This window comes from Homo sapiens, chromosome 16, assembly GCF_000001405.40.
Source record: "Homo sapiens chromosome 16, GRCh38.p14 Primary Assembly".
NCBI lineage: Eukaryota > Metazoa > Chordata > Mammalia > Primates > Hominidae > Homo > Homo sapiens.
In genome coordinates this window covers 57,630,059-57,657,299 of record NC_000016.10, presented here as the reverse complement: position 1 = coordinate 57,657,299, position 27,241 = coordinate 57,630,059, and the positions used below count along the sequence as shown (strand labels likewise).

The 27,241-nt window shown below is 56.2% G+C and overlaps 1 protein-coding gene across 62 annotated transcripts in view, besides 2 other annotated features; it reads right to left on the bottom strand.

Annotated features, from left to right (window-relative positions):
• ADGRG1 (adhesion G protein-coupled receptor G1) overlaps window positions 1-27,241 on the bottom strand; it is a 45,830-nt gene that overhangs the window by 8,268 nt on the left and 10,321 nt on the right. For 9 of the 62 annotated variants that reach the window (NM_001370430.1, NM_001370438.1, NM_001370435.1 and 6 more), the window contains exons 2-9: window positions 6,949-7,047; window positions 5,678-6,100; window positions 3,965-4,097; window positions 3,167-3,314; window positions 1,770-1,901; window positions 1,308-1,424; window positions 1,029-1,074; window positions 683-786 (exon numbers count right to left, since the gene is read on the bottom strand). In NM_001370430.1, the coding sequence (NP_001357359.1) occupies window positions 683-786; window positions 1,029-1,074; window positions 1,308-1,424; window positions 1,770-1,901; window positions 3,167-3,314; window positions 3,965-4,097; window positions 5,678-6,100; window positions 6,949-7,012 (1,167 nt within the window). In that variant the 5' untranslated portion in view covers window positions 7,013-7,047. Of the gene's footprint in view, window positions 1-682; window positions 787-1,028; window positions 1,075-1,307; window positions 1,425-1,769; window positions 1,902-3,166; window positions 3,315-3,964; window positions 4,098-5,677; window positions 6,142-6,948; window positions 7,048-10,287; window positions 10,411-10,980; window positions 11,226-15,591; window positions 15,714-17,629; window positions 17,809-27,241 lie in introns of those variants that run through there. The other 53 variants (NM_001370428.1, NM_001370436.1, NM_005682.7 and 50 more) reach the window with 23 other exon arrangements.
• Window positions 5,696-6,096: a silencer, noted in NCBI's record as "fragment chr16:57685116-57685516 (GRCh37/hg19 assembly coordinates)". NCBI's record gives its function as "represses an EF-1alpha promoter that drives an FKBP-Casp9 reporter gene in an ReSE screen in HepG2 liver carcinoma cells {active_cell/tissue: HepG2}" and the evidence as "EXISTENCE:reporter gene assay evidence [ECO:0000049][PMID:32094911]".
• Window positions 25,554-26,209: an enhancer, noted in NCBI's record as "H3K4me1 hESC enhancer chr16:57665003-57665658 (GRCh37/hg19 assembly coordinates)". NCBI's record gives its function as "activates a minimal SCP1, AML or CMV promoter by ChIP-STARR-seq in naive H9 embryonic stem cells {active_cell/tissue: H9 hESC(naive)}" and the evidence as "EXISTENCE:reporter gene assay evidence [ECO:0000049][PMID:30033119]".

Below are 27,241 nucleotides of genomic sequence, written 5' to 3'. Positions count from 1 at the left end.
GCTAACCTGGGGTCCCTGGTGGGCCTCGGAAGCCTAAGAACCCCCTCTCCCAACTGAGCAGAATGTGGTCCCATAAGTGCATTTTTCTGGAGTGGGGGCATCTTTAGATTTGACCACATTCTCAAGCGGCTTCCTGACCCACAGAGGCCAAGAACCCTTCATGAGAGAACCCCTATTCTGTCCTGGCATTGATTATTCTTCTATAACATTTAACATGGGAATAGGTTTCCTGTGAGGGAATGAGATTCCCACACCCAGGGGTGTTCAAGCCCCAGGTGGATACCCACAGGCAGAATCCTACAGTCCTGGGAGCATGAATTCTGAGGTCTTGGGGGCACTGGAGGCCACCTCAGGGGCCTCATTAGAAACACTCTTGGCCCCATCACTGCCAAATCAGAACCCTAGGTGAGGGCCAGGAATCTGCATTTTCGTACACACCAAAATTTGGGAATAAAGAGCAGGGGCTCTACAAACCAGCTCTTTCACTGACTAGCTGTGTGGCCACGGGTAAATTGCTTAACCTCTCTGAGCCTCCATTTCCTCATCTATAAAATGGGACAACAATAGAAGCTACCTTGGAGAGCTGTTATGAGGAATAAATGACTGAATATATGAAAAGTGCTTGCACAGAACAAGCACACGGCCTGGGGTGTGGCTGCGAGGTGGGAGCAGGGACCCTCACCATCAGCACTGCAAAGTAGGTCAAGTGGTTGCAGAAGCAGGATGTTTGGGTTTCTCTCCTGACGGTCTCACACCCAGCACTGCTCCAATGCCCCGGGCTGCTCACTGAGGAGGGGACAGCACGGGGCTCCAATCAAGTCCAGTCCTCCAGGACCCCACTGTGTCCACCCCCAAAAGCACGACTGTGTCATTCTTCCACCCGGCCTACTCATAGCCTGCCATCGCTCTCTCTTCAAAGTCCTCCTTTCTCCAGGAAGCCCTCGGTGATTAACCCCACCTCCCCCACCCCCCAGGACTCTATTTCTCTTCCAGATACTTGTCCAGCCCAGAGACCCCTGCATACTCACATGTGGGGTCTTCAACCCAGAACACACATTGCAGAGTCACATTCTTCTGTAGGGACAAGAAAGGAGAGTGGTTTCTGTGACAGCCCCCCACCCCTCCAACTTTACAGGCCAGGCAGAGGAAGTCTAGAACACAGTCAAGCCACCACCCGCCCCATTTGGACCTGACTGCTCGATCAGGCAATCGTTTCATTATAAAGACAAATGAGTCTGGAGGGAGGGAGAGGAAAGGGTGACATGGCCGAGGGGCGCTTGTTCTCTTGATGGCTGGCCCCCACTCACCGGCTGTAGCTGGTGCTGGAAAGTGAGCACCACGGGCTCCGTGAGGTTGGCTACTTTGGTGTTCTGTACCACAATCCCCAAGACCTTCTCACCCAGGACTTGGCTGGAATTCTTGTCCTAGATACATGGGGTTGGAGGAAGAGAGTAGGGAGGGAGTTCAGGACTGAGAAGAAGGGCCCAGAAGCCCCTTACCCTCTCTAGATAACCCTCTCCCAGCACATTGCCTTGAGATGCTGCGTCTCCCTCTGGAACCACTTTTGCCCATGTAGTCATTTACACTATAGTAAGAAGAACATTGCTTAGCCCTCTCACAGGGAGATTTGCACATTGCAGTGCAATTTGTAACTTTACAAGGAAAGGCTTTGACTCCCAGAGGAAGGAGCTCATCTGCGTGCCTTCTTTCCACCTCTGTCAGAAAAAAACTGCTTTCTCCTGGGAGGCATGAGGGTGAGGACCCCATACCTGGAACAGGGCTTGGCTGCTGAAGTCCACCAGGAGGAGTCTCTTCTCAGCCTCCCCGCTCCGGCCTTTCGTCCTCTGGAAGAGTGTTCGAGGCAGCAGCACCGAGTACTCCATGATCTCGCTCTGCTCCTCCTGCAGAGGTCCCTTTAGGGCTCAGCCAAATGCGGACCCCTAGATCCGTGCCCCCCACCCTAGCACACACACACACACACCCATCCGTTCCTGGACGCTGCCACTTCTAAGCCCATTTCTTCAGGAAGTCAAGCCTGACTCATGACAGCCCTCCTCATCCCTCCCTTCCCTGCTACCAGCTCTGGCTGGGGAGTCTTGTGGTTAGAATCCAGGACTCCAGGGCAAATAGCCCTGGGAGAACCACATGATGTTCTGTTGTCTGGGGCTTCAGATGCCAGCTCTGCCTACAGCAGCCAACTTGGGGGTGGCCATGTGGGCAGTGTGGGTGGTTCCCAGCTAACCAGAGCCACTCAGGGGGCAGTCTCAAGATGGGGTGTGTGGCTGGGTGCAGTGGCTCACGCCTGTAATCCCAGCACTTTGAGAGGCCAGGGCGAGAGGACTGCTTGAACCCCGGAGGTCAAGACCAACCTGGACAACGTAGCAAGACCTTGTCTTTACAAAAATAAAAAAATGTTTTTTGAGACAGAGTCTCGCTCTGTTGCCCAGGCTGGAGTGTAGTGGCACAATCTCAGCTCACTGCAACCTCCGCCTCCCGGGTTCAAGCGATTCTCCTGCCTCAACCTCCCGAGTAGCTGGAATTACAGGCATGTACTACCATGCCCGGCTAATTTTTATATTTTTAGTAGAGACAGGGTTTCACCATGTTGGCCAGGCTGGTCTCGAACTCCTGACCTCAAGTGATCTGCCTGCCTCGGCCTCCCAAAATGCTGGGATTACAGATGTGAGCCACTGCACCTAGCCTTGCAAAGAATTTTTTAAAGCCAGGTGTGGTAGCAAGCCTGCAGTCCCAGCTGCTCACAGGCTGAAGTGGGAGAATCGCTTGAGACCAGGAGTTTGAGGCTGCAGTGAGACATGATTACCCCACTGTACTCCAGTCTGGGTGACAAAGCAAGACCCTGTCTCGAAAAAAAAAAAACGGGGGGGGGGGGTGCGTGGACAGGCGTTTAGGGGCTGGTCTTCTGTTCACACGGGTGGCCCCAGGAGACTGGTATAGGAAGCAGACCCTGCCACTGTGCCCACACAGGGTCCTCAATCCCACGGTTGAACTACTGACTTAGGATGGCTATCCTCGGGCCTGGAACCTTCTCGGGAGGCCCCAGGGAGAGGCTGCGACGGCACTGAGCTTCAGGGAGTGCTCACAGCCCCCACCTCCATCTGGCCCCGGCCCAACCCGCATCTGCTTCCTGCCCAGGCCTGCCCCTGACCTCCTGCCGGGAGTGGATGTGCAGGTCCTGGAGGCCGGCTGTGGGCTGGAGCTTCCACACCGTGGCGTTGATCCGGTCCTCCTCGAAGGACACCATGTCCCCCATGAATCTCACAGAGGTCAGTTTCGACTCCAGGCTCTGCAACTGCCTGGCAGGGAGGAGAAAGCGGTGGTGATGGTGGGGAGGGGGCCGGGCCACCAGGGAGACTGAGGCAGGAGGACGAGAGACTCAGACAGAGACACAGGGAAGAGGCAGAGGCAGAGGCAGAGGCAGAGAGAGGGGTGGGGTGGGCAAGAGAGAGTGGAGAGCAGACAAAAGAGAAAAGCAGGCATCTGCGTGTGGGAGAGAAAGAATGAGCTGGGGTAGGGTCAGACAGAGGAGGCCAGGACCTGGGAGCCAAGGGAAAGGAGAGCAATGGTGTGGTGGGGGCTGTCCTGGGACTCAGCACCATGGGTTTGGGCCCAGCTCCGCCTGTGCCAACCTACTCTGTGGCCTTGGAGCGGCTCTGCCGTCTCTGAGCCTTGGTCTGCTGGGCTGTACTGTGGACCACCCATCCTTTCTTTATGAGGGGGAGGAGGGCTTGGGATGGTGGATGTGATGTTGGTTACTGACTCAGACAGGAGAGGGCTCAGCCTGGGGGGCATGTGTTGACTCCCAGAAGGCAGAAAGAGAAATCAAAGAAGCATTCCAGTCCCAGGGAAGGCCTCGCAGTAGCCCCTACTCCAGGTCCCACCCTGCCCAGGTCCAGATCTCTGATGCCTTCCTGCCTCCCCTCACAGCCCCAGGTGCCAAACTTACTGGCTGGCGGGGGCAGCCGAGGGCCTCCTTGAGGCCTTCTGGGGATGCTTCAGGAACTGGCTGAGCAGCTGGAGGTCCCTTTTGAGCTCGCACATGTCCACCGAGGCATTGTGAGCGGCCGTGTGGGGAGGACCTGGGGGAGGGGTGGACAGGCCCCCGCCGAGGCTGCCGATTCAGGTCCCAGGACCCTCCCATTCTGCCCCCTACCACCCTGACATGACTCTGAATGCCTCGATCTTTACTTTACAAAGGGGAAACTGAGGCTTCAAGAAGCAGAGTGGACTCTGCCAAGGCCACTCAGATGAGGCCAACCCGTGGGGGTTGTGTCTTACAGAACCCGCCAGCAATGCCAGCCCCAGCGGGATGGGGTGGGATGTGCCTTGCTCAGCACCCTCCGCAGACACCTTCGGCTACACACACGGAGCAGAGAGGGCCCAGCCAGGCCTCCTTAGGAGGGATGTGCGGGGCTTGGTGGTGGTTCCTGGGACTCCACACCCACCAGCCTCCCTGACTCCAGGCTCGGGCCCCTCTGCCCAGGTAGCGTGGGCGGCCTACTAAGGCGGCCGACTAAGGTGTCTCCAGGGATTAGCTGGGACTCAGATGAGGAAGACAAACAGTGGGGGTTGGAGGGTATACTTTCTGTGCCACTGAGGAAGGCAGGCCCTGGGTAGCTCCATCTTTTGAATGCATAACCGAGAAAGCCTGGGTTTTAGGTGATTTGAAATCCCTGGTCCATGTTTTTTAAAAACCCTCTACAGGCCAAACAAGACCAAGTTCAGTCTGGTCTTCAGAATGCCAATTTGCAACTAGGATCAACTTTGCCCTAAATCCTCCCAGGTTGCGGGGCAGAATCCCAGCCTGGGGTGTGGGGAACCCCCCACCACTGACGGGCCTGGGCCTGCCTGTTGCACTGGACATAATCATTAGCCTGTTACACTGACACAATCAAAGTGCTGTGCCCCCCACCCCTGAAAGCCCTGCCTCAAACTTGAGGTGCTGGAAAGACATGAAAACCCCCCAGTAAACCTTCAAGCTCCTTCTGATGCTCCTCCCTTCCTGGCCACCATTCAGCATTTAATGGTGCTGAATGGCAGTGGCCACATGTACCTGTCACACTCAAGGGGGAAGATGCAGCTTCTGGACCTCAGAGTCAACCCCACTGCTTTCCTGACCTTTGACCTCTCATACTCCGCCCCTCACCCCTACCCCACTCCAATCAGCTGCTGGGTTCAAATCCTGGCTCTCCCATTGGCTAGCTGTGCAGCTTTGGGCATCCTCTCTGTGCCCCAGTTTCCTCCTCTGTGAAAGGAAATAAACAGTCTACACTGATGCTGAGGAAGAATTCTTCCTGGGGCTCTTGATCTTCAGTCCCTTTCCAGTCTCTGCTCTCTCACCCTATTCAGACCTCATCCTCCTTCACCAAGACCTTCTCTGCAGCCTCAGGACGGGCCCTTGCCCTTCCATCCTCACCCCTGCCTGCCCACAAAGTAACCATCAAGGGACAGTGGGGCCGAGCGCAGTGGTTCATGCCTGTAATCCTAGCACTTGGATTACACTCCTCCCCTCCTCAGACACCTTCACTGGCTCCCCAGTGCCTGTGAGCAAAGCCCAGTCTTCATGATCTGATATTGTGAGCCCAGTCCACTTTGCATTTTGCCTTCCCTGCCTCTAGACCACTGCCCAGTTGTTCCCTCCGCCTGGAAGTTGCCTTACTGTGGAAGGAGAAGGTGAAGCTGGCGGCACTGGGCAGGCTGATGTTCTGAGGGCTCCACCAGGAGGTGACAGAAGTGGCTAACAGCGGGGGGCCCTGAGCCAGGCTCTCCTCCTGGTGCTGGAAGCAGAGGAGGCTAGAGGCTTTGTCACTCAGCAAGAAGTCACGCTTGCCATAGAGAAGATGTAATCTCCCAGCATGTCGGTTCCAGTAGAGGCAGAAGTGGTAGAGGCCCCTGGGGTCAGGGAAGGATCGGGAAGCAGGGTGGGCTGCAGGGAAAGGGGCATGGACTGTGAGGGCCTCTTCGGAGTTCTCGATGGAGATGCGCAGGTCTGGTGTGGGTTTGTAGTGGAGGCTGCTCCTGTGTGTCTGGTTCCGCTGGCTGCAGAAGCGAAAGTCTTCCCTGTGGCCCCTGCCGTGGGCACCTGAGGAGGCAGAGGCTGCAGATGGGACCCCGTGGCAGGGGCTGACCAGAGGCATGGAAGGGGACAGGACCTAGGCTGAGTACATGTGAACCTGGAGCCTGAGATTCACACACATTCCAAGGGTCTACAAAAATGTGTTAGTCTTTCCCACTCAAAACTTATCAGCATCAAACTATAAAAAGAGGAAACTGAGGCCGGGCGCGGTGGCTCACGCCTGTAATCCCAGCACTTTGGGAGGCTGAGGCGGGCGGATCACGAGGTCAGGAGATCGAGACCATCCCGGCTAAAACGGTGAAACCCCGTCTCTACTAAAAATACAAAAAATTAGCCGGGCATAGTGGCGGGCGCCTGTAGTCCCAGCTACTTGGGAGGCTGAGGCAGGAGAATGGCGTGAACCCGGGAGGCGGAGCTTGCAGTGAGCCGAGATCCCGCCACTGCACTCCAGCCTGGGCGACAGAGCAAGACTCCGTCTCAAAAAAAAAAAAAAAAAGAGGAAACTGAAAACGAATAGTAATTTCAAGGGGAAAACATATTTTTAACAGCAATGAAGTATTTAATGAGGCCATGGCTGACATAGACGGTTGTGCAGGTGGTACACTGCACAAGAATGCTCTGGCTGCAGAGGTGAGTGGGGCCAGTACCCCATCCATATTCCATACCCTAAGCTGTGCACTGCAGGGCTGCACCTGCCAGAAGGAAGGAGTGTCTTTTGCTTTTCTCCAAGGTACCCTCCACTAGCCGAGCTGTAACTGCCTAAAGGAGTTAGCATGTGTGCTGGCAGCCACCCTAGGCACAGGGGCATTTTAACGTAAGTTCCAACAGCCCAGGGCACCCCTGGGAAGACCTGCCTTGGACCAGGAAGAGCAGACTCAGCAGGAACAGTGTCGTCTGCAGCAGCGACTGGGGAGTCATTTTCCTCCGACGGAGTCACTCTTGGAAGTCACCACCTGGAAGAGACCAGGAGTGTTAGCTGGGAGTGTGGACTGTGTGGTGGTTGGGCTGGCCCTGCAGAAGAGGAGGCCAGTGTGGCATGGATGTGGGAGGTGAGGTGGGGAAGCAAGTGTGGAAAAAGCCCATGGACCTCCCCAGAGCGGCCAGAGGCCGCTCCCCAAGAGGCAGTGAGGCCAGGCGTGGTGACTTATGTCTGTAATCCCAGCGCTTTGGGAGGCTGAGAAAGGAGGATCGCTTGAGCACAGGAATTCAGACCAGCCTGGGCAACACAGTGAGACCCTATCTCTACAATAAATAAACAAAATTAGCCAGGCATGGCGGTGTATGCCTGTGGTCCCAGCTACTAGGGAGGCTGAGGTGGAAGGATCACTTGAGCCCAGGAGGTCGAGGCTGCAGTGAGCTATAACTGCGCCACTGCACTCCAGCCTGGGTGACAGAGTGAGACCCTGCTTTAAAAAAAAAAAGGCGGGGGAGTGGCTGTCCAGAGTCCAGCTGAGTTCCAGTCTCAGTTCCACCTTTTGCCCGCTGCAGGACCTTGTGTAAGTCACTCAAAATCGGGCTAATCGTAGTACCTCCCTCCTGAACCCAGAGTGACGGGATTATCTTATCTAGAATCTGGCATGAGGGTTCTACCTGGAACCGTCACCACCTTGCCCCTCCAGGCCCGGAGGGAACACAGAAAAAAGGGGGCTCCCAGAGTTCTCCCCAGCTACCTCCCTATCATCATTCCTGAGACCTAGCTCAGAGGACACCTCCTCCAGGAAGCCCTCCTCAACTCCCTCCAGAGTCAGTCCCAGCCTCCTTTGGTTCACACCACTGGCCAAAGCCCCTCCCCACCCCCAGTAGCCTCCTCCAGGTAGTGGGAGACGTGCATTCCCTCCTCCTTGGTCAGCCAGGGAGCACCTGATCCATCTCTGTGGGCAGGCCCTGGCTGTACAGAGGTTGCTGGATAAAGGCTGTGGGGATGGACAGTGAAGGAACTAAAGGATCAATGCATCCGCGACGCCCTCTACAGGAGCCAGAGGGGAAGGGCGCTTCCTATCATGACCGCCAGGGGGAGCCAGTACCCAGGGTCCAGAGCATCTGGAACAGCAAAGGGACCACGGTTTCTGCTGGGGACAAGGACTCGGTATTGCCCCGCCCTGGCAAGGATGGAGCAAATCTGACCCCCTAAGCTCTCTATTAGCTGAGCGGCTACTATCTGCCAGCCTCTGTGTTGACCCATCCCACCCCTGCATCTGCATTGATTCCCACTCCAACCCTCTGAAGTGGGCACTGCTGTTGACCCATTGCACAGATGGAGAACCTGAGGCCCATGGAGTTAAATGACTTGCCCAAAAATGCTCCCGAGGCCAGGGGCTTTCCCTGCCTGGTCAGGACTATAGTGCCTGGCAGGGAACCTGTGGCCCTGGCACTTGTAGACTTGCCAGAAGGCTTGGCCCTCCCTATGGCCAGCCGGCCCTGTGGCAGAGCTGGGTGCTCACAGACACAGACAGAACCTCATCCTGCGTGGCGCGGCAGCTGGCCACAGTGACAGAGGCAGTCATCGGCCACAAGCCGGAGAACACACGTGGAGTCTGAGTTTAAGAGAAACCAAGGAGGACTTTCAGGAAGAGGTGGCTTTTGAACCAAATCATTGAGAGCAGCATTAAAAGAAGGGGTGTCCCAGGCAGGAGCTCAATGTCTCCTTCCTGGGCCAGTCCTCCCTCAAATAAACCTGGCCCCTTCGACTGAGAGCCAGTTCCCTGCGTCCCACCATGTGGAATGGAACCCCAATTTCTCAGGCCTTGTCAGTTCAGTCGTAGGTCAAATAGGCACATCATCTTGCCCTGGTGGCATCACAGAGCCCTTTGAGAAGAAGGATGTGAAAGTGTTTTAGGGAAGGGCACCATTTCCCAGGTTGTGATTTGTAAGCATTTTGATTCCTTTTGAAACTGCCTCCTGCCACCTCTGACCACTGGAAGGAAACCCAACATCCGGGGACAGGGACATGTCCCTTCCGGACCCCCTCTTTCCTTCTGTTTCCTGTCAGTCTCTGTTGCTGTCCCCCTCTGATTGTCAGTTCAAATGCCACTTCCTCCAAGCAGCCCCTCACTGCTACCACCACTCCCTACCTGTAAACTCGAAGCTGACAAATCATTTGGAGAATTTGGATCCAAGGCCCAAAGAGGGCCAGTGACCTCCTGAGGTCACATAGCAAGCAAGGAAGGAACTGGCCAGAATCCATGCATCTCCCTGGCTTACTGACCTTCAAAGTGAGCCTTCACTGTCAGTAGGCATGGCTGAAGGACAAAGCAGAACCACCGTGTCACTTCAGCCCTCCTGGATTGGCCCTTGAGAGTAAAGGAGGGGAGTACAGGTAGAGAGCTCCCCATCATTGGAAGGAAACAAGTGAAGCGACAACATGGGGTTCCACGGAAGAAATCCAGACACACACAAGGGACCAACTGTCCCTGCCACTTCCTGAGTCATCCCCACTCCACCTCAGCTGTTTGAACAACTACTCCAAGGTGGACAGCCCTGGCTCCATTAACATGCTTGAGGCTTGAGGGGAGGGGCTGGCTGGCTTCCTTTAACCCATGGGGTAGACTCTAGAGCCAGACTGCCTGGGTTCAAATCCTGACTCCCTCACTAGCTGTGTGTCCTTGGGCTAGTTACTCACCTTCTCTGGGCCTCGCTTTCCTCACTAGTAAAGAAGAATAAAGAAGTCAACCTCACTCAAAGGTCATTGTGAGAATTAAATGAATTGATACCTGTAAACGGCTTAGAGGCAGGTGCCATCAGTCTCAGCTAAGTATCTCTGTACTTTCTAAACAGCTCATGCCTGCCCCTAACTCAGCCCCCTGGGCCTGTCACAGGCCCCTCCTCCCTGTTTCCCCCTCTTCCCGTACGGCCCCCAGCAACCAGCTCACCCACCAGAGCACCTTGAGGGGAAATTCTTAGAGCATGAAGCTTCCTTTCCGGGAGAGTGCAATGGAAGGTTAAACCCCACCCAGAAAACTTCCCTCCTCCAGAAGCCCGTTGGGACAGGAGAGCTGGGCTGGGGACAAGAAAGTTGCCACACAGATTGGGCAGGGGGACACTGTCACGCTTGTCCACTTAGCGCCCCTCCTTCATCCCTGCCTATGCCACCCCTCCAGGTCTGCCCCACGCACACACACCTGCCACCTGCCCACCCACCCACCCAGGCGCCAGGGATGTAGCATGAGTCTCCGCACAGACCCCTGGGACCTGACCTGTCTCTGCCTCTGGAGCCGCAGATCCCCAGCGCTACAGGGCCTCAGCCATCAGGCGCTCAGTACCAACCACGGCCCCACAGGCAAGGGCCCTGCCTCTGCTCACACAGAGCCAGAGGGAGTGGCTGAGCAGGGGGCATTCTAGCAACACCCCCGCAATGATAATGTTAGTGGTGACATCCACGTTATCACACCAAACCCTCAGAACCACCCTGTGATACGGGTCTCACTGCTACCATTTTACAGATGCGGACACTGAGGCTGGGGAAGGCTGTGTGTTCTGAGATCACACGAGCGTGGTGCCAAGTCTCCCCCTCCTTGTAGAGCTGGCATTGATAAAGGCCCCAGAGATGCACATCCTTCCCAACTCCCCGGCTTTAGAATCCCCACAAAGGGAAGGAGAGGAGAATGGAGAGTAGCAGAGAATCCAGCCTGGGATAGAGGGTGCTGGGGCTGAGGCCCAAGGAAGCCCCCACAACCCCCAGCTTCCAGAGCAGCCGCCCTTGACCTCAGACCTTCCGTAAACACACACAGGACAGAACAGGCCAGTCCAGTCTGACACAATGGGGGCCACATCATGGGGTTCCCCAAGGATCCAGCAGAGTGGAAGGTGGCCAGGGTTTGTCTGAGCTGAGACCCCCACCCCACCACCAGCCCATCCCCCGCCCCACCCCCAGGGCTCCAGCTCCAGACCTGGCTCAGCCCTGCCCCTCTGCACGGTGGGCAGTGGGGACCCACGGCTCGCTTTCTCCCGGGGGACCTGAGTCACTTCCGTGTGGAGCCACGAGTCACCGCTGCCCAGGCCAAGCTCCTGGAAAACCCATTTCCTCAGAGGATGGAGGTGGAAGTTGAGTGGACAGGACCTGGACGGCTCTGGGATTAACCCTTCCCGGGCAGGCGCCTCTCTGCTGTCTCCTGCCGGGAAGACCCACGAACCTGGCCATCCACTGCTTCCTTCTTCCCTTTACACACAGTGACCACTGCCCGCCCCCGAGCACAGGCATCCCACCCACAGACCTTTGCCCCTTGGTGTCCCTTTGCCTTGGATAGCACTTAGCCCCGTGACATTCCGCTCATCTTTGAGACGAGCTAAGACAAGTCCTCCCCATGAAGCCTCACCTACCCGTCCATTCCTTGCCAAAATTAACGCATGTTCCTGCTGGCCCACAACCCACCCTCAACACAACACGCCCCCCATTGCCACAGGCGCTCACATCAGAGGCTCCCAAGCCTGCCGGTGGGTCAGACCTTCCTCTGGGAGTGAGCTGAAATGCAGATTCACAGTCCCGGCCCAAAGAGGGTCTGATGGGGTGGGCTTGGGAGCTTGGCTTTAACAAGCATCCCGTTGATGGACATACTGCAGGCTTGGGAACCACGGGCTTATGAACCAGGGAAAGGCACCAGCAGCCCTGGTTTAGAGATGGTCAGAGAGGGGAGGGACTGGCCCCGCATCCCTCAGCTGCTAGATGGTAGGGCCTGGACTCGGGGCCAGGGCAGCCTGCGTTCCAGCACTCTCTTCCCTGCCCTGTGACGCAGACCCATCAGGCTCCTCTGTGGCTCCCCCAGCATTTAGCGGGGCCCTGGAAGGGGCTTCCTGAAAGACATCAGGAGAAGGGCAGGCATCAGGTTGGGGGGTGGTGGGGTGGGAAGGGAGCCAAGGAGGGAGGAACGAGGGAGCCCCGGAGGCAATCTCCAGGTTCCAGCCTAGTCTTGCCCACCTGGAGGCCTTCCCCTTAAATGGGCCCTCGCTGGGAGAGGCAGAGGGGAAGACCCCCCCAGCTCAACTTCCACTGCCCTAGCTCCCCTCCCGTCCGCAGCTGCTCTCCTGTGGGCTGCTGGGGCACGACACTGAGCTGCTGAGCCTTTGGAAGCAAGGATTTGGCCCAGGGGGTCGGGCGGCAGGGTGAGGATGAACTCCTGCGAGTTACACAGGCATGTGGGTGTGTGTGCGTGTGCATGAGTGTGTGTATGTGCATGAGTGTGTGATGAGTGTGTGCGCCCATGCATGAGTGTGCATGTGTGTGTGCATGGGGGTGTGTGCCCATGCATGAGTGTGTGATCAGTGGGTGCCCGTGCATGAGTGTGTGTGTGCATGAGTTATGAAGTGATGAGTGTGTGTGCCCATGCATGAGTGTACATGTGTGTGTGCATGGGTGTGTGTGCCCTGCATGAGTGTGATCAGTGTGTGCATGTGTGTGAGGAGTGATGAGTGTGTGCCCATGCATGAGTGTGCATATGTGTGTGTGCATGGGTGTGTGCCCGTGCATACGTGTGATCAGTGTGTGCCAGTGCGTGTGATCAGTGTGTGCCCGTGCATGTGTGTGCTTGTGCATGAGTGTGTGAGGAGTGTGTGATGAGTGTGCGTGCCCATGCATGAGTGTGCATGTGTGTGCGCATGGGTGTGTGCCCTTGCATGAGTGTGTGATCAGTGTGTGTGCTTGTGCATAAGTGTCCGTGTGTGCATGTGTGTGCCTGCGCATGTGTGTGATGAGTGTGTGTGCCCATGCATGAGTGTGCATATGTGTGTGCATGGGTGTGTGTGCCCGTGCATGAGTGTGTGCATGTGCATGAATGTGTGAGGAGTGTGTGACGAGTGTGTGTGCCCATGCATTAGTGTGCATATGTCTGTGTGCACATGGCTGTGTGCCCGTGCATGAGTGTGTGATCAGTGTGTGTGCCCATGCATGAATGTCCTTGTGTGCATGAGTGTGTGCCTGAGCATGAGTGTGTGATGAGTGTGTGTGCCCGTGCATGACTGTGCATGTGTGTGCATGAGTGTGTGTGCATGAGTGCGTGTGCCCGTGCATACACAGGGATGCATGGGGCCAGGAGGAGAAAGCAAGAGAAGGCGGGGAGCTCCTCAGAGGAACAGACTTCAAAGCTGGGAAGGGGACAGGGAGGGCGGGGCACAGTGCAAAGAGCAGGGCTCTTGCAGGTGTTTCCTCCATGGTGGGTGGCGTGGCGTCTGAGAGGACCCTCCCTCCAACGGTTTCCAAACTTTTTTAATAAAAGTAAATCTTACTTGGAAATAGCATGTACCCAACAGCTCAAAGTAGACACCCCTGTCAGACCCAGGTGGCACTCAGGGCTACGCCCCACCCCCAGCCCAGTCCCCCCACCCCTCAGCCGCACCCATGGGTCCTGGGATAACAGCTTGCAAAGGCAGAAGCACTCTCCTCCCCTATTCCCACTCCCCTCCCCCATTCCCACTCCCCAAGTGAGTGACGGAAGTCCAAGCTAGGTGACCACAGAGAGCTCCCCAAGAGGGGTATTCCAGGATCACTGGCAGAAGCAGAGTGACTTCAGTTTTCAGGAATTTTCCTACAATAAAGGAGAATAAAATGAAGCAAGCTGCCTGCCTCGGAGGCTGGCAGGTGCCCAGGCCTGGCCCACTCACTGCCCAGGGTGAGCCTCACACTCTTACACCAGACCTGCTGGACACCCCCCACCCCCCATACCGCCAGCTCAGGCCTCACTGTCCCCGTGGCTTCTGGTCCAACCAAGTGCTTGAGCCACAACACCCTCTGCCTGCCCAGACACACCCTGTGGGAAGAGTGACAAAGGGGAGAAGTTGGGGCACTCCCTGCCAGCCTGAGAGGGAAGGACCCACTCATAGGAAGGGACTCCAAGTCCTCCCAGAGAGTCAGTTGTCCAAAGCCGGCTGCCCTGCTGCCTCCCATATGCGGAACTGGGCATTTGCTTAAGAGGCCTCAGAGAAGCCAACATATAGTCATCCAGCCAGGAAGAAGCCTGGCCTTGGATGCTCCCACCTCCAAGCCTTTGCACACACTGGTCCTCCTCCCTGTGATGACAACCTTGTGACACGTCTGTGAGAGTCCCAGTGTCCTGGCCTCAGGCCCCCACATCCTCCCAGTCCCCATGCCTGGCAGGACACCAGATGATGAGTGGGACTAAACAGGGGTCTTATCTGGTGCAGTGAAAAGGGCCCTGGAATCCAGGGAGATTCTAAGAGGAGAGGGAGGATCACAGCTTCCACTCACCAAGTGCTCAATTAGCCGCTGGCATCCTGCAAAGCACTTGGCAAAAAATTAATTGTTCAATCCTCACAGTAACCCTATGAGCAGAGCCCATGAATCATGCAATCCTCGCAGCAACTTGGTGAAGCAAATGCTATCAGTGTCCCCACTTTAGGAAACTGAAGCCCAAAGAGGTTAAGTAATGCCCAAGATCACACAGCAAATAAGCAGAAAAGCCGGGACTCAAACTCAGGTCCGCCTAACCTCCAAGCCCAAACTTTTAGCCATTGTGGTCTTCTGAGTTCTTTCTCTTCTCTGGGACTCAGTCTCCCCATCTTTACCATGAGGTAACTTGCCAAAGCACTTTCAGGGAGCACTAGTCCCCAGATTAGAGAAATGCTTGTGGGCCATACTTTCTGTTGTATATTAGCATATCAAAGGCTCTGATAAGTCCTGCAGGAAAGAAACCCATAAAGCTTGGTTGGGCAGTTTCCCAACCCAACGTGAAGGTAGAGCCTTTTTTGCACGGACACCTGTTATCCACATGGAAAAAAGCTCTCAGAAATCTTGACGCCACACAGAAGCCTGCCAGCACCTCCAGCCCCCTCCCCTCCCTTCCCCTTTGAGCTGTCCCAAAGGTCATTAGCTAGCATGAGATGAGCTAGAGGAGACACTTAGGCATTCCCCAGGGCCACTCATCATCATCCCTGACACTTCCAGGAAAGAGGTCCCTGGTGAGCCTGGGGTATATTCAGGCCTATCCCACCTCCCTTCGGCCGGCAGCACCAGCTCGTGGGGAAAAGGGCACTGCCAGGCCTGTCCCAGGTGTGCCATTCCATTAAAGTTGGCCGTGGCCAGCTGGGCCTGTGACTTCATCTCAAGCAGCTAAGACACTCAGGATGTTGGAAAAGAGAGAGAAAGAATATGAAGATGCAAGAGTTTTAGGAGATGAGAATCAAAGTCTCTTAGAATTTTGGAATTGAAGCCAGGGGTAGTAGTGCTTGCCTGTAGTACCAGCTACTTGGGAGGCTGAGGCAAGAGAATTGCTTGAGCCCAGGAGTTTGAGGCTGCAGTGAGCTATGATCATGCCGCAGTACTCAAGCCTGGGTGACAGAGTGAGACCTTGTCTCTAAATACAAATTAACAAAAAAAAGAAAAGAAGAATTTTGGAGGCCAGGCACGGCGACTCACGCCTGTAATCCCAGCACTTTGGGAAGCCAAGGTGGGCAGATCATTTGAGGCCAGGAATTCGAGACCAGTCTGGCCAACACAGTGAAACCCTATCTCTAAACAAACAAACAAAATTACTGGGCATAGTGGCACACACCTGTAATCCCAGCTACTCGGGAGGCTGAGGCATGAGAATCACTTGAACCCGGGAGGTGGAGGTTACGATGAGCCAAGATCACACCACTGCACTCCAGCCTGTGTGACAGAGCGAGACCCTGTCTCAAAAAAAAAAAAAAAAAAGGACTTTTAGAATTGATTGAAGAGACTTAGAACCTAAAGGAGAAACAGGGATTAGGAAGGCACTGGGGACACCAGCCTGTCTTGAAGGGACCTCAAAGAGCCAAAGAGCCAGCAGTCCGAAGACTCTGGTGCCAGGCCTGTTCAGCTTATGCTCCTGGGGTGGTCTGCAGCCACGTAGAGGTTCATGGCCAAGTCTCCACCTGGCCATCTCCAAGGAGCAGCTGAGGCCAGCCTCCTGGGCGCCAGGGCACACACCAGTCAGTACCTGCCCAGGGAATGTACATGCCTAGAGCAGGGGTGGCAGGAGTTAGGGGCATAAGGTTCAGACAAGCTCTGCAGCCAACTGGAATCTTGAGGCCAGCCTGTCCCTTCTCTGGGCCTTATTTTCTCCTCTGTCAAGTGGGCAACTCTGATGTTTGTCCCCTGACTGCCTTCTCTGCAGCCAGGGCCCTCCAGGCTCCCGCAGGCTTCAGGATGCCTACAGGTAAGAACAGAGCTTACCTCCAAGCTGGTAGCAAGGGACAAAGAGGATGCTGAACCGTCTCCCCTGACCCCTCTAGACTGTCTTCCCTCTCAAACCACAGCCGGACCTCAGTTGTCTGGCTGAGGTTCCCCTTCCCTATCTGTGTTCCCACGTTGCCCAAGGCCAGGCCCGCAAGGTCAGCCCAGTCACCTCCCTCCTTGCTTAGCAGTTCAACTACCCCAGGTCTGGCAAACTCCCATCTTTGGAGCGCAGGACACTTAGCATTCCCAGGCTGGCCACCAACCCTCCCTTTCTTTTTTCCTCCCCCTCCTCGAGGTCCTGGATCACTGGCTGAGGGGCCGAGAGCACCCTCCCCTACTAAGTAGGCTGAGAAGAACAAAGTTCTCCCCTACCAAGGCTGGGGGCCCGAGCCTGACTGTGCCTGGGCCCCGTCCAGGGAAGGGAAGTAGAAGCACTGAGTTCCATCCCCACTCCTGAGCACACAGCACAGCATCACTGACCATCAGAGGTTGCACACCCCGCAGGCGGGGTGCTCACCACCTCCAGTGACACAACTATGTTCATTAAGCTCTTCGAAAATGCAAGACAGGATTGTGAGCTTTTTACACATGTTCACGCATTTAAGCTTCCTCAAAACCCTTGAGACAAGTACCATCACACCCACTCAACAAATAAGGCCAGCGAGGCCCAGGGAGGTCAAGTTACCTGCCCGAGGTCACACAGCTAGCAAGTAATGAAGATTGGATGCGAACCCAGGGCTGGCTCCAGGACACACGCTGTCCATCTGCAAGCCTATTTCCCTCCTGAACTTACCTGACTCTTAGAAAGCACATCTCTTGAAAAGTCACAGTAAAGAAAGCTTCCAACAATGTGTTTCCATGGGTTCAGCTGGACGCCATCCTCCCAAGGGCCCAAATCAGGGAGCCCATCAGAACTCACCCAGGTGACCTTGGATCCCAGCCCCACTGGTGGCTCTTTCCTGCACTTCCAGTCCCCTCACGCCCTGGACTTGTCAGAGGCTTGTTTCTGACACCGGGGGTGCAGCCCAGGGACCCAAAAGAATCTTCAGCAAGGGCTGGGCTGCAGGGACGGGTGTGGAGCTCTCACCCCCAACTATTTCCTTGTAGTTGAGGCTGCTGTCTTAAACTGCCCAAGTCCCTTGGAGTACCATCTGACCCCCCCAGGGTCCCTAGTGCCACCACACCCCCACCCACTGGCTACACCATCAATGCTGGGGAGAAGGGGAATGCACGGGAGAGGAAAAAGATAAAGGGGAAGGGATGGGGAGGAAGGAGGCGAGCTGGAGGGGAAGGGGAGTGAAGGAGGAAGACAGGGGAGAAGCGGGGAGCAGGGAGAGGGAGCAGGAGTGAAAGGGACGGGGAGGAGGGGAGAGGAGGCGGGAGAATCGTACCTGGACTCCTTTGTGGCATCAGGCAGACTATAGATACATTAAGAACGTGCGTGGCAGATGAGGGGTTCTTGTTTGCAGGCAGTAGCCTGCGGGGCTGGTGGGTCAATGTCCCCCGACCACCTTTTTTCAAGAGGACAGAGACTTTGAAGCTGGGCCACCCCAGCCACTGCTCCCTCACTGGAGCTTCAAACAAAGGGGACAGCCAGGGAATAGAGGCTGAGAAGCCCCAGCCGCCAGCGCGGGAGAAGGGGCGCAGGTGACAGCAGCCCCTGGCAACCGTTGCCCTGGCAACCGTTGGCAGCTGCAGGGACTACGTCACACCCCGGCTCAGACCCAGCAAAGCAACGTGGCTCCGTAACTTGTCCTGTTCCCAAGTCCTCAACTCAGACGCTGCCCAGGCCAGACAGGGAGCTGGCAGGAGGGAGGGCAGGGGTTAGGACAGCGATTTATGGGGAGCCCCGGGGACACCTGCCTGTCTTGAAGGGACCACAAAGAGCCAGAGCTTCCAATTTCTCGAGAGAGGCAGAGCCCCAGGTTTTTACATGAAATCTGCAAGTTTGTCAACATTGACTTTAAAACCAAATCTTTTTTTTTTTTTTCTCAAACAGAGTTTCGCTCTTTCGCCCAGGCTGGAGTGCAGTGGCGTGATCTCAGCTCACTGCAACCTCAGCCTTCCAGTTTCAAGCGATTCTCCTGCCTCAGCCTCCCGAGTAGCTGGGACTACAGGTGCCCACCACCATGCCCGGCTAATTTTTGTATTTTTAGTAGAGACGGGGTTTCACTATGCTGGCCAGGCTGGTCTCGAACTCCTGACCTCATGATATGCCCGCCTCGGCCTCCCAAAGTGCTGGGATTACAGGTGTGAGCCACCGCGCCTGGCCCAAAACCAAATCTTTTTAGAACCCAGTGCAGGCCACCCAGTAACCAAATTATGCCTAACAGTAGCTGGATTTGCTTCTGGAAGCTGCCAGCCTGTGGCCCTGCCCTCAAAACAAGCTGAACACCCTCTAATCCCACCACTGGCTTTTGTGAGCACAATGTGTGCATCATATTTCTCTGAAAACTCCTTAGGGTCCACCTCCTCCAGGAAGCCTCCTCAGATTGCCACAGCCTACCAAGAATCCCCCTTCTGAGTTAGCCCTAGGCCTGGAGGTTCCTCCTGGCTTCCTTCTAGAGCTCCCGGGGCGGGGCTGGGAGCTCAGATTCTCTTTTGCCAGTCTGGGGAAGGAGGAAAATAGAGGCAGAGCTTCTGAAACTCCTACTGTGTGCCAGGAACTACACTGGGCATTTTGGAGATCCATTTCTACCACTCTGCAAGGTTAGCCCTAGGGGACCCACCTTACAGATTGGGAAACAGAGACTCGGGGGATGTGACTTGCTGTGAGCCACCTAGCTGGTAAGGGAAGGGTATGGAATTTAAATGGAGATTTTCTCTGGGACATGAAGCTATCAAGACCAGTTGTCCATCTGGCACTTGGCTAATCCCTAACTCTCCCCCACGTTCAATGCTCAGCCAACTTTATTTGAACATCTCCAGTGACAGGGAGCTCGCTCTCTTCCAAGAGGGCACATTCCTTTGATCTCTAAGTTTTTCATACCCACTGAGTCAAAGGGAAAAGGACATAAAAACTGTGGTACGCCCCAGACAGGGCACAGAAAAGAACCAGGGGTTAGAACCCCCACCGAGGTTTTCGGTTCCAGGCCAGCAGATAGGGTGGGGTTGCTCAGGGGTGCAAAAGGTCCTGGGGTCTCAGTCAACCAGCTACAAGCACTTTCTCAGAGCACAAGTGGGGAACCCCACTGGCAATCACATTCTGAGGGGAGTCCAACAGAGGAAGGGGCTTTGGGATGATTTCTGGCAGAGGCCATGGGAAAGGCAGCAGGGGCTTGGGGCTGAGGGGATGGTGTCTCTGCAACTCCCCTTCTCCCCCGCCCCTCCGTGGAGCAGAGCCAGGAGGCAGCTTCAGTCAGGAGGCTGCTATTGTCTCACTGCAGGCCCAGAGCTGGGTCCCATTCAGGCCCTATTTTTGGCCCCCGGAGGAAGAGGAAAAGAAAGCAAAGAAAGGACTTGCTGTTCTCTGGTGAAACCTTCTCCCGGAAAGGCTCACAAGGCTTGCTGGCCGGAGAAGGCGGCCTCTGTTGCATCAAAGGATCCTGTGCTTAAAGGGAGCTGGCAAGGGGCTGTGGTTCAGGGGACCTGGGGGGAGGTACAGACGAGGCACACCACGCCTTTTACATACACTTGGCACTCACTTACAACAGCAACCCGGAGAAACAGAGGCACAGCTTCCCCAGCCCCACCCATAGTCCCTAAACATCCCACTCATAGTAATAATAAAAATAACTGCAATAGCTCATTGCTGCCCAGAGCCAAAAGCCAAAGCACTGTCTTACTTCACACCTACAACATTCCCGACCAGGGTCGGGGCGGGGACTGAAATGATGAAGCTCATTTTGTAAGTCAGAGAACTGAGGCTCAGGGAGCAGCAGGACTGCTGAAATCACAAGCCAGTGACCACAAGCCTACTCCCGTCCCCCAGCCTTACGCCACCCCATCCCTTCCTTGCAGTCGCCAACTCCAGCCACTCTAGACTTCTGTCCTCAGACACACCTCAGGGTCTTTGCGTGCACTTTTCCCTCAGCATAGCACATCCTTTCCAGGACCCTTTCCCTGACTGCCTCCTTCTCAGGCCTCAACTCAAATGTCCCTTCCTCTGAGAAGCCTTCCATGACCACCCAATTAAAATTATCTTCCGTATCCATCACTCGCTTCCATGTGATTTATTACCCGTATTGGCACCCAACATTGACATGACTCTGCCATTTGCTTACCTGTTATCCCTTGCTCAGCTTTGCTGTCTCACCTGTCTTGCTCACCACCTGCATCTCCAGTACCTAGCACAGTGCCTGGTCCATAGAAGATCCCCAGTGACTGCTGGATGAGTAAATGAAGACTGAGACGGAGCTGGGACTCTAACCCAGGGCAGGCAGGCTCCACACCTCTTCCCAAAAGGAGCCATTCCTGATAGATACTAGATAGCCATTCCTGATAGAAGATCTAGAAGATCCAACCCAAAAGTGCCACTCAGGCTATGTGAGGGGTAGGGGATAGGGGATGGAGAGGGTTCAAGCACTGAGCCATCTCCACTCTCCAGCATCTAACAGGATCAGGAGCACACACACCTCTGCCGGCTGCTTGGCCAGAGAACGGTTCCCAAGACTGTGCATAGCCTGATAGGATCTGAAACACAAGGCAAACTCCCCTTTGTTTTCCCGATAAAGGCTCTGAGAAGTCCCACAGCATGGAAGCCTGGGAGCGCATGCCTTTCCTATGCCACTGGGGCCACAGACAGCTTTAATGGCTGCTGGATTAGAAGATGTCTGAGATTCCATCTGAATCTGTGAGCACTGAACCTTGGATTTTCTCTCTACATTAAAGCAAAATTACCACCCCCAAGACCCTCAAAGGCCCACTCCTGTGGTTCGGGCCTAAGGGGAGCCCAGGTAGCAGATGTGCAAAGAAAAGTGGGTCCCGTTCCCATTGCTGCAGACCCCAAGCTCCCACCTGGGCTCCCCATGGGCTCTCCAAGGTCAAGCAAGGAGGAGAAAGGGCACGTGCCTATGGCCATGGGGTCCTGCGATCTAGCAGGCTGGGGGTGGGGTGTGTCCCGAGGACTAGTCTGCAGAGACTCACGAGGCAGAGCTGGGGCAGGGCAGGGAGCCACGTACAAGTGCAAACCATAGGATATGCACTTGGCCTCCCATGCTTCCAGGGCCACTCTATGAGGAGGTACTATCATTCCCATTTTATAGCAGGGACACAGGGACACGGAGCTTGCCCAGGGACACAGAGCTCGTAAAACTGGATCCAAAGGAGCATGGTGCACTCCTTTCCCTGGGCTGCCTCTGTTGTCCTGCATGCCCTGGCAACGACATGGAGAGTCGGCAGCAGCTACTCCATAGAGAGGGAAAGGGAGGCTCAGAGGGGCTGAGCCACAGGGCCCAAAGCCTCACGGCCCAGGGAACAGGGGCGGGGTTGGACCTTGCTCACTCCTGTGCTCACGTGGTTTGCAAACACTACCGTCCTTCCTAGATCGCAATCACTAAAGGTTCTGACTCCAGTTTCCCAAACCCAGGTAGGTAGACAGAGACGGGACCCTGGGGCATGCCACCACCTGCTGCAGGATCTCCATGAAGAGACACTGGCTGTCCTCCCCCACCATGGCTGGCAAGGGTGCTGCACTGGTCCCAGCTCCCACCACCTCCACTTAAGGTGCCAGGAGGCAGGCAGGAGAGGAGCTGGAGGACAGACCGTGTGCACCTGGTCCCCTAGGTGTGCACACAGGTGGCAGAGTCCCCCAGAAGGTGTGGCCAGGACAGCCATGGCATAGGATAAGTACAGCTTTGAGGAAGCTGTGCACGAGGGTTTCTTCCAGCTTTGCCCACTGCCCATGGCTCTAGGCAGGTGGGGGGCAGGGGAAGTGCCATGGGGTCAGGAATGCCCCTATTCAGGTTCAAGCCTGTTGGATAAGGGAGAGCAAGGGGTCCTGAAGATTCAGGAGGTGGGTGTCCTGCCCTCCTGACCTCCCTCAGCCTCTCCCTGTTCACTCCAGTCCTCTTCAGCTGGGTCCCTCTCCCCCTCTGCTCCCTCCCATCCAGCCCACTGAGCTATTTACACATGGACAGGGGTCTCTGAAGATGCATTCATGGCTTTCATGGTGGAGGTTCCTTGGAAGAACCTTGCCAGACAGCCAGGCTATGAAGAGGGTTTCTAGATAGAGGCACCACCTGCCCACAAGCATGGCCTGATGCGGCTAGAAAGACCCATGTGATGCTTAAGGACATAGCGACTCCGGGGAATGTGGGAATTGGGTGCCCATCTCCCCCAAGGCTAGGAAAGCTCAGGGCTGGAAGCAGCCATGAAGAGGAGCCCCATGCGATGCCAAAGTTGCTTCTGCAACGCCCCTGCCACACTTGAACACCTACAAAGGTGGGGAACTCACTACCTATCATGGGAATGGCCATCTGTGGTACTCTGGGGAAAAGTCCAGGCTAAGAGGCAGGAGACTGGGTTCGGGCTCTGCTACCACTGACTGCTCCGAGCTCTTGGGCCTGATTCCTCATCTGTGAAATGTGGATAAAGTTTCAAGTCTTAGAGGGCCAGCAGCACTCAAGATTGAATGAGGGTCTTTGTAGGCAGTGAAGTGTATGCCCCAGGGGCGGAAGTTTGGGCTGTGAGTCGCCCCTGAACTGTTTGGCCCGTGCCCAGATGGTGACACAGCAGAGGAGCAGTGGGCAGAGGGCACAGGGCTGAGCATGACTCAGGGGCCCCTGCCAGCCCCTTGGGCTCACCCCTAGCATCTGTCACCATCAAAGCAGGTGGGTCTGGGCAGTTGTCTGACCCCCTGCCACAGGGTCCGAGACCCAGGGTGCCAGCCACAGAGCCACACCCTGAGGCCCAGACTCAGCCAAGGACCCAGAAGGGGTCAGCTGCTCAGCCTAGCTCCCAGGGGCCTAGGGTGAACTCACCCAGCAGAGAAGTGACCACAGTGCTGTTCTGTCCCAGGAAACCAGCTCGACTGGAACCCAGGCCTCCTCTCCAGGGCTAGGGCCATGGCCTCTGGTCCTTTGAAAGGTCGGCGGTTCTGTGGGTAATGGCTCCAGCTCAGCTCCCCAGCCCAGGGTCACATTAACTCACTCCAAAACCTGGGTCAGGTCTCAGGTCTTGGGGAACATGAAGGAGTCCCAGGCTGGACAATGCCTCGGGGCAGCAGATCAAGACCCCAGGAATGGGCATGTCCAAAGGGGAAGCTGTCACAGGATTGGTGGTTTTCCCGGTAACATCCTGGGAGGATGGCACCATTGTTCCGGATAAAGTCTCCAATGCTCTCTAAGAACAAGGCTTGGTCATGGCCCAGAAGGGGCAATTACAATAGCACTTGAGGTGTGCCCAGCCCTGCACTCAGCACTTAAAATACAGAGGCTCACTTAATCCTCTCAGGATGCCATTACCAGCCTCATGTTTACAATTAGGAAGACGAGGCACAGAGAGGTTAATATACCTGTCCCAGGCCACACAGCCAGTAGAGCTGGGACAGAATCAGGCAGCCCCAGAGCCCACACCCCTAACAGCCCACCTCGTGCTGCCTCTCCTAGGGGGCAGCCTGGCTGAGGGATGGAAAAGCAAAGGTCTGGGACAGCTGGGGACAGGGTCTGCGTCTCATGAGCCCCTATGACGTGTGGCTGTCTCGGTTCATCCCCACAAAGCCGCATTTAGGTATCAGAGACTTTCACAGCCCAAGTAATGAAGTTGTGAGAAATTCAGCCGCTTGCTCTAAGTCATTTTTCAAGGATTTGAGCCTAAGTCAATGAGCCCATGACCTGGAAGATTAAACCTCCAGCTGAGGTTTAGGGAGAACCTCTTGAAGTCATGCACTGTGCTAGGTACATACTTTGCAGCCACTTTTGCCCCAAATTCCACAGCAACCCTGCAAAGGGATGTATTGTTATCTCCATTTACAGGCAGGGAAACGGGTCCAGAGAAGCTGTCATCTTTGGCAGTGGAATGCAAGTCTCCACAGCTCCTCTCAAAAGTCAGCTTTCCCCCATGGGCCTTGAGCATCCAGGCTGGGGGTACTAGGAGGACAGAGACCTGGGGACGGGAGGGGAAAGGGCCTGGGAGGTGGCAGAGGCGGCTCTCTATCTCACTGTTCCTTGTTTTGCAGTTGGTGTAAGTGGCCCCGAGTCTGGGAAGCCAAGCCAGAGCCATTCACCGCAGAACTTTTCAGGCCACCAGGGTTGGGCTGGCTCTTGGACAGCAAGGCCATCTCCCCACCGCCAGGCCATCTCCCACTAATGCAGAGAGGCCTGTCCACCGGTGCCCGGAAGCATGCCAGCTCCTCCGGGGCTGAGCTTTTATCTCTGCCTGGAACTGCCAAGCATACCACAAACTGCCTGAGCCTGCGCAGGCGCCAGCTCGGGAGCCCGACGCCCACCACACTGGCCTCCTCACCAAAGCACGAGTCAGGCTGGAGGTGGGTGAGTGAGCGCCACTGGTGTCCAGGTGGCCGCAGCTCTCCCAGCAGTAGCGGGGGCAGGGAGAAGTGCTCACAGTTATTTCAGGTTATCTCTGGGCCTCAATACAGCCATCTGTCCAATGGGAGAGGTATTAAAAAAAGGCTTAACATTCCCACGTATGGGAAAGGCACTTTCCCATATGCTTTCCTCTATCAACTCTCTTCATGCTCATAATAGCCTCTGAAGCAGATGTGATTGTGATCCACAGTTTACAGATGAGGAAACCGAGGCACAGGCCCATGTTCCCACAACCAGAGAGAAACAAAGCCAAGATTCTCCCTGGGCAAGCCACCCTTGCTGTCTCTACGGGCCCTGTCACCCTACAGGTGCGTGGATTTGGCAGTGGCAGGGGCAGGGTTCAAGACACGAGCATGTGCCTGGCTGGCTGAGGAGCCTCCTCTCCACCAAGGGACAAGAGCCCAAATTCTGGATCCCCAAAGATGTGGGGTTGCTCACTGGGTAAGCCTCCCCTGCCTCAATGTCCTCATCTGAAAAGTGGGTGTCGTGTGCAAGGCACTGAGCCCAGGGCCTGGCAGAATCTGAGGTCAGGGAAGGTCCAGGATTGCTCCCATCCAGGCTGAGCCATCAGGGAACCAGGGAGAGTTTGGGGCTTAGCTGACCTCCTGCCAGGGCAGGCTGGCACTGGGCAGTGGTCAGAAAATGTGTGTCCCTTCCTACTCCCCAACCCTTGGCCCCTCTACCCAGCAGTCCAGACCTAAGACCAGAATCTACAGGGCTCCCCTGGGGGCCTCAAGGAGCCCCAGATGGGGCACCAGAGACAGGAGGAGGGGCAGGGTCTCAGCCAAGTGACGGCTCAGGAGAAAGGAGGCCTGGGAGGCTGAGGCCGTGCCACAGCCCCGCCCCACCCGGTTTGAGAGACCCCTTTGTGCCAGCCCGCCCCGCCCCCCATTTGCCATCTGCCCAGTTGCTGTGTCTGGTCACCCCTGACTGCTGGGTTTGCTCACATGATGTCCCCATCTGCTGTGAGTCAGAAGGCGGGGTCCACAGGGCCACCCCCAGCATGGGGACGGGGGCTGAGCCCTGATCAAGCTCCAGTCTGGGAGGAGGAGGTGGTGCTGGGGTTTGGGGCTCTGTTGTCACACTCCCCTCTCCTCCCTACTTCCACCCGACTTCCCCACGGCCTCCTCCATGGCCTCCCTGGGAGCCCTGCCACATGGAAGCCCATCCTGCATCCCTGAAATGGCACAGCCCCCCAGACCCCACCTGCACACAGCTTCTGCACAGGATGGCGGAACCCGCATCCCAGTCCGGCTGGAGGACGGTCCGCAGTGGTCCCTCCATGGCTGTCCTGCCCACTCCTCTTACCTGCCTTTGTCATGCTGGGCCTTGCCAGGAGGCCAACCCCTACACCAACCCTGCTGCAGCTCTGCCACCTCTCTCCTGTCCTTCCCCTCGACTGGGCGCCACCTCCCCCTCGTCTCCCTCACACGTGAAGCTGCTCCCAAGCTTGAGCCTTAACCCAGCAGCCAGAGACTGGGACTGCCTGGCCAACCTCACACTGAACACCCATCCTGGCCCTCCCCGTCCTGCTGGGTTTGCAGCCTGGGCCCCCAGCCCCACACAGCACCTGCCTGGCGAGTCCTCCTGCCTCTCTTCCCCCCCACAGAGCAGATTGAGACCTGCTGGCCTGGCTCATCAAGTCCCATGAAATGACCCATGCCAGGGGTCCGGTATCACCCTCCCCGTGGTCCCCAGCTTGTATCGTTCCCCAAATGTTTTCCTAAGTAGTTTCCTCCACTAGGACTCCCCCTACAGTGCTCATACAGACATCAGTCCCTTCCCCTCCCACCTTCTCCCAAGCCCAGCCTAAGTGCCTTCCGCAGAGGCTCCCTGGTCCTCTTCCCCTTCTCTGGGCCCTCTGTTAGCAAGCTTATCTCACGCCTCCATCTCACCTCCTAACTGTTGTTTGTTTGTTTGTATCCCTGACAAAAGGAAGTGTCACACCAGGCTGACTGGCCCTTGCCCAGTGGCCCAGGCCGGGACACAGCCTGTCCGTCACAGATCACACCTGGAGCGGCGTTCTCCATCACCCGACACTCTCGGAGCCAAGCCCCAGGCCTACGGGAGCCAGGGCAGCTGTGATCACCCCTACACACCCATTTAGCAGCTGAGCTCCTGAGGCGAGAGGAGAGGAAGGGCAAGGGGGCCACAGTGATGCTGTGACCAAGGTGGGTGCATATCTCGGGTCCCTGCAGCAAAGAAGGGGTCAGGTCTGGCCCTAAGAGCTCATTCCACACCTGGACATTGGCAGGAAAGAGCCCAACAGGACCCCTGCCTGGGCTCTGGGGAGCCAACTTGGCAGCCCATGGTTATTAATGCCCAGATATGCTCCTTCTCACACAGTCTCTGACCCCAAGGAGCCAACAGGCTGCCCGGGGCTATCCTCTGGGAGGGGCAGGGGGCTTGGCTCTGGGTCTGGGCCACTCACGAGTTCTGAGATACCTTATTTGCCTCACCCACGGCCATGTTCCCGACAGAGCACAGAGTGCACAGTAAGCGCTCAATAAATGCTTC